This window comes from Homo sapiens, chromosome 21, assembly GCF_000001405.40.
Source record: "Homo sapiens chromosome 21, GRCh38.p14 Primary Assembly".
Classification (NCBI taxonomy): Eukaryota; Metazoa; Chordata; class Mammalia; order Primates; family Hominidae; genus Homo; species Homo sapiens.
In genome coordinates this window covers 33,561,670-33,577,506 of record NC_000021.9, presented here as the reverse complement: position 1 = coordinate 33,577,506, position 15,837 = coordinate 33,561,670, and the positions used below count along the sequence as shown (strand labels likewise).

General features: G+C 35.3%; 1 protein-coding gene across 3 annotated transcripts in view; it reads right to left on the bottom strand.

Annotated features, from left to right (window-relative positions):
* SON (SON DNA and RNA binding protein) overlaps positions 26-15,837 on the bottom strand; it is a 34,444-nt gene continuing 18,632 nt past the window's right edge. For 2 of the 3 annotated variants that reach the window (NM_138927.4, NM_001291412.3), the window contains 6 exons: positions 10,240-10,350; positions 8,420-8,536; positions 4,052-4,199; positions 1,840-1,911; positions 1,614-1,729; positions 26-1,142 (listed from right to left, as the gene is read on the bottom strand). In NM_138927.4, the coding sequence (NP_620305.3) occupies positions 1,083-1,142; positions 1,614-1,729; positions 1,840-1,911; positions 4,052-4,199; positions 8,420-8,536; positions 10,240-10,350 (624 nt within the window). In that variant the 3' untranslated portion in view covers positions 26-1,082. Of the gene's footprint in view, positions 1,143-1,613; positions 1,730-1,839; positions 1,912-4,051; positions 4,200-4,876; positions 4,957-8,419; positions 8,537-10,239; positions 10,351-15,837 lie in introns of all 3 variants that reach the window. The other variant, NR_103797.2, reaches the window with a different exon arrangement.

Below are 15,837 nucleotides of genomic sequence, written 5' to 3'. Positions count from 1 at the left end.
ATAACCCAGAAAATAAAACACCACGTTTATTCCAGAGAAGTTTGTATTTGGGCCTTAAGCTTTTGAAAATAAAGTTTAGAGACATAGCATATGAATACCACTGTAATACACATGAAATATTCTATCAGACCCTAAAAATTAACATAAACTTTTAACTTTCTCATAGTCAACAAAATAGTGGCTGGTTGCCAATTTTATTAGATAAGTTGGTTACAGCATTTTAATTATCATTTTACGTCTATCTAGGTGTAGCTGAAATTCAAAATGCACATCAAAGTAAAACTATATCACAACTCAATGCCATACTAAATGTACTGGCCTCTGCAATAGAATTCTAGTCAGACTTCATTTTTTACTCCCTTCTTATGACCCAAGTGGCTTTAACAGGAATGCAGGACTTAGTGCTGATCATCACACAACATACCACTTTCTTTTTAGAACCTCTACAAAATTTTGAGGGGAGATGGTGGCATTAGCCCTGTGGAACAGATCTTGATCACCTCAATAACACTGGCCCATTATCTGTCCAGCAGAACCCATTGTGAAATAGTACAAGGTGCACAGCCCTTCACTGATTACAGGCAAGTGTTACAGTAGCCTAGCCATAAGGAAGGGGAGTTACATCATAGTACAAAATACAGTATAAAAGCGTTATTTAACATTCCACACTGAAGATTACTCTGATGCCTTCAAACAGTCGTTTGGATGTTAGCCACTTAAACAAATACATCACTAAGGTAAACAATATAAACATACCAAAACCCTGTATGGTTAAATACAATTTCCATGGTACAAAAATCAAAGCCTGGAGATGTTTTTACAGATTGCTTTTTACACAATGTCTTAAATTGCCAAATATTTACAACATTAAAGAGGAAATACATTGTGATGCAGAGTAAAATTCTGAAATGATTATTATAAAACCTCAATCTATCTACGTGAGGCACTCCTGAAGCAAGTGGCATTAGCCATGAGGTCCTTTGGTACAAGGCCCATTGCTTGAAGAACCACAGTAGCTGCTGTGGCTTTAGCATGCTTCTTATTAGGGCTGGCAAAGCTGGGCTGGTAAGCGCTTCCATTTATCAATACCTATTCAAGAAAAACATACAATTGGGTCTGGTAAGGGCTCCATTTCTCAATACCTATTCAAGAAAAACATACAATAAGAACAGCATCAAACTTTAATATCTATTAGCTTTGTATTTTTTCACTAAATGCTAGAAAAATAATTTACAAAAATATAAAACCCATACTATGTAAGTCAAATTATAATCTCAACCCGAAGAACCAAATCATTTGGGAAAGGGACTGCAAATTAGAGCAGGTCTCCAAATTGAGAAAAAGACTGACAAAAGTATTAAATTAATTCCCCACATTCAACTAGAAAATAACAATTGTATACTATATTTTACCCTTTTCCAATTTTTTAAAAAATAGGACATTGACAAGTCGTATTAAAGCACCCTTCAGTGTTTAAAAACCCCACCACTTAACTACAAATACAAACCCCCCACCCATGAACAGAATCTTAATCCTGTGATCATGTTTACCCCTCACCCTCTAAGTCATCACATTAATAAATATATATAATTAATGCAGAAATTCATATTTACCCTAAAGAGAAAATGTTTGCGATGATCAGGGCCACTATCATGGACCAATAGAAATTCAGGTGGTTGCCACCTTCTTTTATTACAGATCTCCATCAAAGCAGACACAGGATGTTTGCCTGCAGGGGGGAGAAATACCCAGTTTTAAATTATTTCCACCAACTTCTGCAACAAATAATGAATTCAAGGTGGGATTAGGGTAAGAGGAAATTCAAAAACGTGCTCTCACCTGACAGATCTTTCATTGCAGCAGAGAAGTTCCCAGACCTCTTTTGTGCTCTTTCTCCTACTGCAACAAGACCTTTAAAAAAAAATTGTTCACTAAATAAATTTCAAAGCACCACTTTAAAACAAAGATCCCTCTGTAGGAGTCTGAACCTCAAAATGTATGCCTTCAAATAAAATCAGCAGATTCCTAGTACACTCGATTTCTCTATCAATCTTCTCTTTCTTCTCTTTTACTGTTTTTCAGCATATAAATTTATATTTAATATTCATAGATCTTGGTATGAGAAATTGTAATAAATACCAAATGTAAACAGAAAACAAAAAGTTAAGTATGGCCAGGCACAGTGGCTCATGCCTGTAATCCCAGCACTTTGGGAGGCCGAGGCGGGTGGATCTCCTGAGGTCAAGAGTCTGAGACCAGCCTGGCCAACATGGTGAAACCCCGTCTCTACTAAAGAAACAAAAATTAGCCGGGCGTGGTGGTGCGCGCCTGTAATCCCAGCTACTCGGGAGGCTGGGGCAGGAGAATCGCTTGAACCTGGAAGCGAAGGTTGCAGTGAGTAAAGATCGTGCCACTGACAGCCTGGGCAACGAGCAAAACTCCATCTCAAAAAAAGAAAAAAAATAGCTTATTGCCAAGTGATTTCTGCAGATTTACTGTCTCTTAAAAAAATAAGCTTCAGTTAAGACTCTTCCAAAAAAGGTTAGGATTTTAAGCCACCAAAAAGGTGAAAACGGTTGTCTCCAAATAAAATAGGTCCCTTTTTTCCTAGCAAACTCTCCTCTCCCTTCCTAACAAATGGGAGATGTTCTCAAAATATGAACATAACCTTTCTACATAACCTCTCTCTCCATAGACTTATTACAAAGGGGATTAGCTACATTGCTAAACCCAAACACTGCTTTCCCAATTCATATACAGGTTGAGTATTCCTTATCCAAAATGCTTGGGACCAGAAGTGTGTCGGTTGATTCCAGGTTTTCAAATATTTGCATTGTATTTAGCGGTCAAGCATCCCAAATCTGAAGAGGCTGAAATCCAAAATGCACCAATGAGTATTTCCTTTGAGCATCATATCAGTATTCAAAAAGTTTTCTGTTTTAAAGCATTTCAGGTTTCCAGATGTGGGATGCTCATCCTGTATGTTACAGGAAATTTTTCAACCTTTGCTAAATAATTCCATGCTAATATAAGCTTTTCTAAACCTATCCTGGGAAATCTGTGGTTCTCTGAGAGCTTACAGTCAGGCCATGTCCCACAATTCCAAGGACAATGCTTCCTGAAATTGTACAATACTTAACATCAAAGTATTTGGTGCAGAGCTAGTTCATTTCCAAATTCATTAAGACAGTTTAACTATTGAAGTTAGCTTCAACTTACTGTTTGATTACAAAGATGAAAATAAATCCCAGTTTTACATTTGTCAGCTTTTATAAATGAGGTTTAAACAAGCTATACAAAAATCATACTGAGCTGGCAAGCCTCTCATGATTCCACTTACATTATTCCAAGGGAAGAAGTTATTTAAAAGACGCCAATTAGCTATCATCTGTGGGAATGATTAAATACTTAGCAACTACATACAAGCTACATAGAAGACACAGTGCTGCCCTGCCCAGGTATCTGAAGGTAAAAGGAAAATACAGTCAATGCTAACAGTTCCAAGATGCCTTAACACAAGGCAACAGGAAGAAGTAACATTATTGTCAGCAGCTGGTCTACTATACTCTAACCCAACTTAACTACTGAGCTTGGAAGAAAAAAGCAAACAGGGTTTATGAAATCTAGACTAAACCAGTATTGTAATAGGAAATAATGAAGATGTGCTAAAATATCTAACAAAAAATAAACTAAACTCTAGAAAAAAGGATGGTTCCTTGTCAAGAGAAAATAAAATGGAAATCCTGTTTTCTAAACATGAAATCCAGTTGAATTTGGAGGTGTAATAATAAAATTAGATATATACACATTTCCATATTTAGCAACTAGCATAACAAAAGGTGCCTTTTAAAAGTTCAAACTGGTGTCTCTATCCATAGTTATATAAAAATAAGCTGCTCTGTGAACCCCAAAAGGGGTTAATGTTTTTTCTGACAAATACCTGTATATATACAAGAAGTGCCTTCAGTTCAGTATCACTGGGTTCAAAAGGATATATTAAAGGTAATGTTAAAGGAGACGTTAATAAACATTCCAAAAAAGAACTTGTTACCTTTTCGGTCTGTCTTAAAATCAACTAGGATGGGTTCCTTATTGCCTTCTTTGTTTTTTCCTAATCCTTCTCCTTCTCTCCAGCCCATTTTTCTCATCAAAACGGCTCCCATTCCTCCAGTTACCGGGGCTGCTCTTAAGAACTGATCCTATCCAAAGAAAGAAAGGTAAAATGTCCCCATTTTACAGTTAGAACTTGGTGACAGATTCATTGTTTACTTTCTAAAAAGAGGAATCTTACTTTACTTCTAGATCTGTTATAGCAATTAAATGTAAATTCCTCTATACTTTATACATACTGTAGTGTGTATGTTCTGATTATTTGCACATTAACGTAATAGTATTTTGGAAGTCAAATAAGACAAGTAAATGGCAGTTTTGAAACAGTAGCCCTCGTGCCCCCCTCAAAAAAAAAAAATTAGAACACTCCTGTTTTCGTCCACTATTTAGGTTCACTGGTATCTCTTCTTAGCTTGCAAAATAAAAAGAAGGCAATGTTAAAACAATCAATGATATTAATTGTCCCAGGTGTACCTAGTTTATGAATAAAGCCCAGAAATCACTTAGAAATAGTTTAGACACTGAAGAAGCATACTGTTGTCATCCAAAGTTTTCTTCCCCATTCTACTATAAAGCAAGTATAAATATTTTACTTAGAAAATCCCTAAAGCAGAAAAAAAAAAAAAAACTCTTGAAATTTACACAGTAACAAATAGAAAACAATCACATAAAATATCCTGTAAGTATGCCAAAATGAATTTGAATTCTTTTAAAACCTAGCTTGATGTTAAAAGACTTTTAAAAAACTCCTTAAATGTTTACATACCTAGGCCTCGGTAGCAGCAGTGTTGTGAATAGTACGGCTGGCACTGACCGGGGCAAGAAGACAGCTACAAGGATTTGGCCCTGAAACAAGTTTCCATACAGAGGGGTGAAAGTTCACAGGTTATTCTGTGAACAGTCATCTCTCTTGTATCCAACCCACTGAACCATAATTTCCATCAAAGCAGCAAACCACTTAATGTCCTAAGATGCACAAGTATATATACATTAGCATGGTCAACAGTTATTTTTACAGGTTAAGAAATATTCAATGCCTCTTATTAAAGGGCATCCATGTACATATAGCAAACAGTATTAAGTTGTACTGTTGATCTTTATGGTCATTTTTTAAAAATTTGAAACATATCTCCAAATCATGCTTTATTTTCCCCTTGTTACTAAATTTTAGGTTTTTATGTTCTCTTACCAAATATATATATATATATATATATAAATATATAATATAGCAAAAGTCATTAACTTATCAACAGAGAGAGTAAAAAAACTTCAGTAGCTCAGGAAATAGTATGCACATCTCCTATATTGATAAGTTAATACTGAATGTAAAAAAGAAATGTTTGTATGCAGTAGTAAAACTGTATCTATCATCTTTTGTTTCCCAGCTTTGTAATTAAATGCTGGGGAGAAAACATGCCAATGACGTGTGACTAGACATTAAGTTCATCAAGGTGCTCTGATGGAAGGAGGCAGCTGTGGAGGTAAAAACATACCCCTGGTTCAGTTCCTTATTTGGTGCAGGCCATGCAGTGTAGATGTATAAAGAGAAAGCTGATGCTTGGATATTAACTGCCTTGATGCTACACACCTAGAATGTCTTTTACTTACTTCCAGGTTCATCCGTCCCTCTTTTCCAGGGAACACGCCTAAAAAAAAGGGCAACTGTGCAGAGTACAATATAAATCCCCAAATAACCCAGGTTTCCAATTTTGTTTCCATTCCCTAGTATCATCATCTGTTTCTTTACCCCAGTGTGAAAAAGCTGATTAATTTAATGAGACCACAATAACAAACTGTATTTATCAGGTCACATCCAAATCATTCCATTCTAGAAATAAAATTTCTTTTAAACGAACTACTTTAAATGTTTTACTGATTAATGAGACTACTGATAAAACTTTGCTTTTTTTGTAATCTAAAAATACACTGCAACAAACTAAAAAGAACACGGAGGATGTTGGTATTCCATGTGTTTTTTAACACATAAGGCAGATGCTGGACTATACTAAAGAAGAGCCAAAATGATCGTTTGACAGGTTTTCTAAACACAACTAAACATTTAATGAGTAGACAATATTTGTGATATTTAACATGGATCATACATCCTAAATTTTCAGCTGCCTAATGACTTCTACATGTTGTGGCCCATTTTTAATTTTCAAAAGTTTCTTTTTTAGTTGATACTAGCATCAAATATTCTTCAGTAATTCTATACAAATGAATCTTTTCCTTTAAGTGCTACTTTTATCTATAATTTAAAATTTGGTCTGAACATATCTTTATCTCATAATTTATCAAAATAATTTGCTTCCCAAAGTATATCTTACATAAAATATAAAGTTGAAGCCTTTTTTCAAGGTGCTACTAAACATTTTAAAGTTATTAAAGTCTGTTAACTGCCTACAAGACTGCAAATACCAGAAGAAATTATTTTAGGGGAAAACCAATTGAGTCAGTAAAAGATTCACTTTTTAAAAGTTATTTAAGTTATTAACACATTTATAAGTATACAAACATTATGGATCAGCACATCATTAGATAAAGACCAAAATTTTGTAATGGAAGCACATTCAGAAGTTTCTACCTAGCAGTGTACATGACTCTGTATTATGTGCCTATTTTAACACCCATAAGCTTTATTTCTAACTTCCTGAAATACTGGCTGAGTACTTAGCTTCAAGACTAAATAGTATTAAAGAATTAAAACTAAAGAAATAGATGTACATTTATAGTTCTTCCAAAGATGAAAGACATTTTTTCAAATATTATATAAATCACTTTCATAGTAACTATAATATAGAAGTCCAAGATTAATCCAATCTTTAAAATATTTTGCTATATACATTTTCACCCTTTATTCTAACACCAACCCTCAGCAAACTGCAGAAATTGTAATTTCTTAATGAATCTAACTGTGTACTCACTATACACATCAGTGCAACTACTTCCCAAAAAAAGGCAGGCATAATGAGTATACATGATGTTTCATATTAATTTGTTAGTAAGATCAACAAAGATAAAGCTATCAAAATTGAAATAAATGTTACAAGATTAAAATACACAAAGCAACCAATGTCTCATTTTTCAGAAATTCAGCTCATTCACTGGCACTCATAGCAACTCTCTATAGGTAACCATCACGTTACTGATTACCACTAGACACCTCAGAGACTTTGAAATTCCAAAGAGTTACTTGCCCATGATTACACAAGGAGTCAGGAGTACAACAGGATAAAGAAACCTTCCCAATCCATTAGACCACGCGGCCTCCCAGTTTCAGCACTGCTATGCTGCCAGTACTCCTGTAACAAATTTCCCATCACCCATCCAACCAAGCTTTGTCCCTTCACCACAACGCGTTTCTTCAGAATGCCCTTCTTAGCCACCTAAGACTCCCCCAATGATGAGGCAGCCGTAGGTGGAGTTCACAGGTCTCACTGCAGAATCTGAAACCAGATGCACCTACATCTTCGTAGCACGAGGCGTCCATTCTCTCCCTTGATTTTAGGTCTTACATATCTGTTTTGTCATGAAATTAGTGGTTCTCAAATTGAGCCTGTGGATCACCAGAGGCCACTAGGGCCTAAATGGTGGTCCACAGATTAATCTCCATCCCATCCCCTTCACCACAGCCCACCCCACTCCAGCCATCCTCCCTCAGGCTTCCAGTCCCATGGCAAGATCACCACATGCAGAGCTAATACTAGGGCCTCCCAACCACTTGCTGTAACCAGCAGCTGACAACCAAAAGGTCCTGGGGCTACAGGTCACAAGAGGAGTGAGGAACGGGGGCCAAGAGATCTTACAAGAAGGCACAGGCACTAATGAAGCGGGTGGGGTGCGAGGGCAAAGGAATAGAGGAATGGAAAATTAAGGTGGTAGAGGGCTCTTGGGGGCAGTGATCCACTAAAAATAAACCTGTAATAAAGTATCCCATGATGAAGAAAAATTTGAGAACCACTGCTTTGAAATGATTAGGTTAGTAGTCCAGCAGGAACTGTGGAATATTCTGAACAGCACCTGATACACTATTAGCGTTCAAAATAAAGTTAAATCACCCCTTCAAAAGCAGCAGTAACAATTTTTAAAATAACCTTATAAGTTAGTGGCTCTTGAGCCACATTTATACATTTGCCATTTTCTCATGAATCCAGTCCGTCTTCAGTGTCCGCCCTGGAGCATATACACATAGCAAATTTACTTGGAACTTTGGTTAGAGTCACTGGTCTTTTCATGCAGTTTTAATAAACAGTTTCCAAAAAATTTAAACTTTTTGTTCGACACTTTCATATGTGCATATACTGTGTACCTTTTTAATCCAGGCTTGGGCACCAGTATTGGCCAACTGTTCTTGTGTCAAAACCTGTACTCCTGTACTTCCTGTGAACTGGCCAGGAATAGAGTTCAGCTGAGCCCAGGCATCAATCTGAAGAAAAGAAGTAGTCTCAGTTAACTAAGTAAAATTACCTGATTAAAACATCACTGGTAATAATTCACTAAAAATGGCTGAAAAGCAGACTTAAATATTTAACTTTTAAAACATATTTAACATTAAATGTTTGCCTAAACTTTCTAAAGAAGCAGTTTGACAACATTTAGTGAATCCCATTAATAAGATTTTGAAATGTATCTAAAAGCACAGCTACTAAAAAATACAGCTGTTAATATTCTTCAAACTATCACACAGATACACTAAAAATGCAAAAAAGAGCTCATATGACAATGGGTCCCCACCCTCCCTTCCTATCTCATACAAATGTATTGTAATACATGTCATGACAGCCTGGATTCTTAATTACTTCCTTTGAGACATTTATACAGACTAAATTCATGACACAGGTTTAAAGAGTTTAAATGTAGGAAACTGTCCACTTGAATACATAAACGACTATTTTTTTTTGAGATGGAGTTTCTCTCTTGTTGCCCAGGCTGGAGTGCAATGGTGCGATGTCTGCTCACTGCAACCTCCTCCTCCCGAGTTCAAGCGATTCTCCTGCCTCAGCCTCCAGAGTAGCTGGGATTGATTACAAACATGCGCCACCGCGCCCGGCTAATTTTGTATTTTTAGTCGAGACAGGGTTTCTCCATGTTAGTCAGGCTGGTCTTGAACTCCTGACCTCAACTGATCCGCCCGCCTCGGCCTTTCAAAGTGCTGGGATAACAGGCGTGAGCCACTGCACCCGGCCGTAAAACAACTTTTTAAAGAAGCTTGTATACTTTTTTTCAGTCACCAACATTTGTTGTGATAAAGATCAGCTGTCATTCACACAAATTAGATTTACTAAACACCTTGCACTGTCAGCAATGTATTTCCTGTCTGAACATGTACTTACTGATTTACCATAAAACAGTAGAAATGAAATGGAGAGGCTGTCCATTGTTAAAAGCACAGACTCCAGATTCAGATTGCTTGGGTTTGAATCCCAGTTCCCCCACTAATTAGTTGTGTGACTATGGATATCACTTAATCACTCTTTTGTTTTTTTTAGACAGTCTCACTCTGTTGCCCAGGCTGGAGTACAGTGGCGCGATCCTGGCTCACTGCAACCTCTGCCTCCCAGGTTCAAGCATTTCTCCTGCCTCAGCCTCCTGAGTAGCTGGCATTACAGGCATGCAACACCAAACCCAGCTAATTTTTGTATTTTTAGTAGAGATGGGGTTTCATCACCTTGGCCAGGCTGGTCTTGAACTCCTGACTCCTTGCCCCCACCTCGGCCTCCCAAAGTGCTGGGATTACAGGCATCAGCGACCATGCCTGGCCTTAACCACCCTTTACTTCAGTTTTCTCGGCTGAAATATGGCAACTATTAATACCTACACATTTCATAGGGTTGTAGGCACTTAGTTGTTTTTATACACCAGATTGTAAACTCTGTGAGGACAGGGAAATTTTTCTATTTTGTTCTCTCAAGAAACAGTTCCTGCCACATAGTAAACAATAAACATTTATTGAATAAATGATCAGGCCTCGAATCACTTTCATTTAAAATAAGACATTGAAAATAAGGTAAAGGATGTTACAACTCAACCATCTAGTTAGCAAAATTCTTATTTAGACATTAAAACTGGTACATTGGTGTGAGTTGGCTGATGGTAAATAATAATTTTTTTTAAAAAACTGCTACATACCCTTTCCTGAGCTCTATTTAACATGCTCATGGCTTCAAGATCAAATGCATTCTCACTGAGTCTTTTCTGAGCAAGTGCCCGTTCACTCATTGCTGTAGAGATGTCCACAGGCTAAGAAAGAAAACAGAGATAATTATCTCAAATTACCATAGTCCCCTAAATTCTGAAAAGTACTCATATCTTTAGTTGCTACATATCAAAAACAAAATAATAGTCTTATAATACTAATAATCTTGGAAAACAGGGAGAAGACTCAGAAAGAGAAAGTAATCTTGGAAAACAGAAGAGGATTAAGATAAATTACAAAGTATCACACAGGTCGCAGAACTGAACCCAAAATCTGACTGAATTTAGTCAATTTTCTATTATATATATATATCAAACTATAATCATAGAAAGTTCCATTAAGAACTTAAAACTCGCTACTCTTCATGATTGAAAGCCATTTATAGTAAACTGCAAATTTTTTGAACTGTGGTAAGGTTATTACATTCCTTAGCAGTTTTCATTTTACTCATTAGCATAACCTTCAAGAGCAGTAAGCAAAATTACTGAACAAGCAAGCAGAAAACCACTATGATCACTCCTTTACTCATCAGCGTATCTTTAACATCTTCCAGTTGTGGACACTTTGGTCTTAAGAACCCAATTTCTTTAAACAATATATTCAGGATATAAATAAATGAACCATGTTTTCAGTTTATACACACTTATTACTTATATTAAGTATATTACACTATTTATAATTACAATATTTCTGTGGAAGTCCATAACATCAACTGAAACACTTTTGTTTCTTTTCAAAGCTCATATTCTACCTTTTAAAACCTTACGGCAAGTGGAAGAAACTTTTTTTTTCAAAGTAATCTTTGGAGCCAATTCTTAATTTGTCAGATTTGTGGAAGGTTTAACCACAGAATGAAAAACACATCAAGATAAGTATTTGTTATTTTTTTTGTTCTAAAATTAAAAGCTCGAGTTGATTTTTATCAACTCATTTCTTGGTTTTTGTCCTTCTTTTAACATTATTATTATTTCCTAGTTATCTCACACAAGAAAATTCATTTTTGTAAAATGCTTATCTGACATGGAAGATTTTGCTGTTTTCATATACAAAGAATAAGTAGACACTGCATGAACATAACAAATACGGGGAAGTCAGTAAATAGCTAACGGCTAAGGATTTTCTTTTTTACAAGTAGAGGCTAGCTGTAATTAAGACTATGTATCATGTATAAAAGACTTCTCTTAAGAATAAGACCTGTCTAGTAGAGAAGGCTGTATGACTATGAGAATAATTATAACTCATGCATAAGGATTCACAAATCTTTCTTACCTTCAGAACCCCTAATCCTCCATAATTCTTAGTTACCTTGCTAATAAACTAATATTCCTTTAGCTAACTCAAGGTTTTTCTTTAAGTATGGATTCTGATACAATGCCTTCTTAAAATGAAAACAAAATTAATCCTTTCTGTAATTAAGACTGTTTATGTTAATATATAAATCTTTCTAGAGATCTATAAACAGTCTAATCAACTGCAGAATGCATCTTTCAAATTGAATCTCTCAACTGTAATTTCGCTAAGTTGATTTAAGTAAATCATCACACAAATTAGAACAATTCTAAGACCTATTAGAAATATTAATCTAAGCAAAGTGAGATTGAAACACTAAGAAACTTAGTATGTCATCTTTCACTTAAGTCTGTTTGATTCCTGGGACTTTAATGAGAATGCAGATATTTCAGGTGAAAATTCATGTCCCCCTAGGCCTACCTTAAGATGTTTTGTCAGGTAGGATTATCAAGGTAATTTTTGAAGGCACACAAGATGCGACAAGTACTGTCTCATTAACCTTCTCACACTTACTTTGCTTTTCCTAGCAGTCTCTATAAATCTAAGTGTTAGGGTGCTTAGGCATAAATAATAGGCTTTTATTCTAACAAGGCTAAAATCTGAGGATACTGGGGAAAATGTGTCTACCCACTATCCCAACTCCTGATCCCTAATTTCCAACTATAAATTAGCTACTCATCTATTCAGATGGCTCTAAAATATAACTTCTAGAATAAAACTAATTCTTTCCAAGTGGAAAGCAAACTATTACACCTGCGAATGTTCTTCTCTCTTAGCCTTTATTAAACGTTTAACCTAAATGCCTCACCATTTATCCCCAGAATGAAACTCTTCAAATCTTAGTGTTTCATATTAAACTCATGATTCTGAAAGGAATTTTATTATAGCAACCTTGATATTTAAATAAAATTACAACTATGTTTTTCCTGAGGTAGTAAAACTTCATTTACTCTTCAACAGACTTACCAAGGGAGCTGCAAGTTCATGTCAAAAATGTATTACCAAATAGTAATTTGACTACTGGTTTCATTTTTTTTTTTTTTTTTTTTGAGATGGAGTTTCGCCCTTATTGCCCAAGCTGGAGTGCAATGGCACAGTCTTGGCTCACTGCAACCTCTCGCCTCCTGGGTTCAAGTGATTCTCCTGCCTCAGCCTCCTGAGTAGCTGGGATTACAGGCATGCGCTGCCACCCCCGGCTAATTTTGTATTTTTAGGAGAGACGCGGTTTCTCCATGTTGGTCAGGCTGGTCTTGAACTCCTGACCTCAGGTGATCCGCCCGCCTTGGCCTCCCAAATTTCTGGGATTACAGGCGTGAGCCACTGTGCCTGGCCATATTTTTATTTTTAATGCGAAAACATATACTCAAAGTAGAATGAATCAAGATTATCTTAACCTCATAAAGATCCTCAAAAGTTTACATCAAAAAGCCTGTTTCCAGCCTTTCAAGGTAACTCAAGTTATACAATGAGGCATAAAAAGCCAATACAATCCCCAAAGCAGCAATGTTTAAGGGTCAAACCCGATGTTACTTATCAGTATTGAAACACTCATAATACCACAGCTACCCTTTAGAGCAGCATTGCCCAGTACAACTTCTTACAGTGATCACTACTGAGCACTTGAAATGTAACTAGTGTGATTAAAAACCTGATTTTTCAGGGGCTGGTAACTGCTGTATTGGACAATAGAGCTTTAGAATCTTAACTGTCGTTTAATATTCAGAAACTGGAAATATAAGAAAGGCACCAAAATGATGGTAAAAGGCCCCTCCAAAAACTGGGAAAAAGAGAATCTTTAATCTGTAGAATACTATTACCAAGCTGTCACCAACAAGCCTTAGTTTCTACCAATACACTATAAGACTAGCATGTTACCTAGTGTATAAAAATAATTCTGTAGTAATATTCTAGGTATGATAATGGGGGAAATGTTTACTGACTTTTCACCTTTGCTCTAAAAGGTGAAATTTACATAAAAAGTGTCCTGAATTACAAATCTCAGGTAAATAAAAACTGCCCAAATTCTTCACTCTCTCTCCCTCAGCAAGAAAGCAGACAACTACTTCTTATAAAACCTACAAAGGTGTCTGAGGCATAATGAAATTACCATAATGCAACTGGCACCATATAACATGCATTTCATGACCTATATTAATACATTTAAGTGAGCCTTTTACATTTTTATTTCTCATTTAGGAAATTCTTCTAAATCCATTTACTCCTTTTGTTAACACAACTGTTGACATAAAAAGAACAATATTTTAAGAGACTTCTTAGAATATCAGTGAAAGGATATAAAAGAGCTAAAGATAATTGTTAGGATGGGGTGAGTCAGATAAGGAAAATACCTATAACCAGAAAATTATTTTCTATTATTGGTAATCACAGATATCTCAAAAGCAGGCATAAAAGGAAAACTTTAATTATAAGAAAATAGACCTAAGGTAAAAGCATCTGGCCTGTATATAAAACATGATTTTAGAATATTTAGCAAATATTAAAATATAAAGAGGTTAATGCATACAAGAGCAAAATGACAACTACAAAAATAAAAGCCACAGAATGTCCCAGTTATGTGTTTGGTTGGCTTTAAAAAGTGAATTACGAATCTTTTTATTGTATCATACAAAATTCTCTAGTGTATAATAGACTAAATGAAGTACAACGGGAAAACAAATAGATAACCTACTAAATGGTTCAGAGAAATTCAGCGTTAACCACATAAGAGAATCTAGGAAGGAAAGAATAACAAGGCTGTATATTACACATTCTAGCAGTGCCGGGACCTATGTGTTTAATTTCCAATTAAAATTTTCATTTTTCTCCAAGTTTTCCTATACATTTAGAGCTTATAAATTTAAAAAAATTGTAATTCCATTGGGATGTGGAAATATGATTTGATAAATACAAACCAGTAAACTGCTTAACATAAAGATGATCTTAACATCTAAGCATTCACTAGACCTTAACAATACTACCTCTGGACCCCTAAAACATTTGATTGATACTAAATCCATGAAAACTCCACACTAATAGTTGAGTAGTTACTACTCCACTTATGTCAAAGATTACATCCTAATCTTCTACTCAATAAACCTCTACTAACTTTATTACCAAGAATTAATGCCCCTGAGGACTATTTTTAAAATATTAGTTTTCCAACATTTTATTTCATTGTTTATAAATCAAATTCACACAAATACAGTCAAAGTTCTGTAGTCACTCCTTACTGAGGATGATGCTGGCTGGTTTCTGAGTATGAAGACGATGCTATGGCAGTACCGCACACAGTCTGATGAGTTGTTTTTCCATAAGAAATGAATTTATGCTGCTTCATCCACAATGTCTATCCATTCATACTCATGTCAAAGAGCATTCATATGCAAGACAATTGGTGGGATTAGGGATTACAGCAAAGCTAATTCAGCCCTCTTATGGAGATAAAATCTGTGATCTTTGCCTAAATGTTTTATGCTCAACAACAAAGAACCACAAACTCCATTTATATTTATTAAAATGAAAAAGGCATAGATAAAAATTACTATTCAGTTCAAAGGTTGACCATTTAAAAGAACTATCTCCTTTTACTCTAGAAGCCTTTATTTCAAACTCTAACAAGGAATCAAAAGGGTTAATGCTCCCACGAAGTGTTACCAAAAGTATTTCACAACATTGGTATATATAACACTAATTGTATAAATAATAAATTCATTACTTTTACCTTCTATATATACAATATAGTATATTTAGATGGTCACTAAATAACTGGAACTAAACATTTTAAATTGTGACTATTTCCTCTACACATTTTAACATTATTGCCAGGTAAAAGTGCAGATATGAAAGCAAAAGGCAATCCTGCCTCTTTGCCCTTGTATTTTGGGATTCTCTTCTTTAGAATTAATCTGTATGTTCTTTTGAGTCTAATCTTCTAAGCAGCTTAAAGAGGTTTTATATCAAATAGTTACATATATCGTCCCACAAGAGACATCATCTGCTTTATTCATTTAGCCCTTTGAAAAGAATTGTAAAATAATTTTACCTTCTAGGATTCTTCTTTGGTAAGAAAAAAAATTTTTTTAACAAAAAATAATGTCACCATTATTTGAGTACCTTTCTCTATCAACTTTTCCCACCAGATTTAAGAATAATTCTCCTCAACCTTTAATTAAAATCTGACAACTTTTGATGACAAACAAGGCTAAGGCACCACACTCAGTGTTAAGATTGAAAATGGCTGA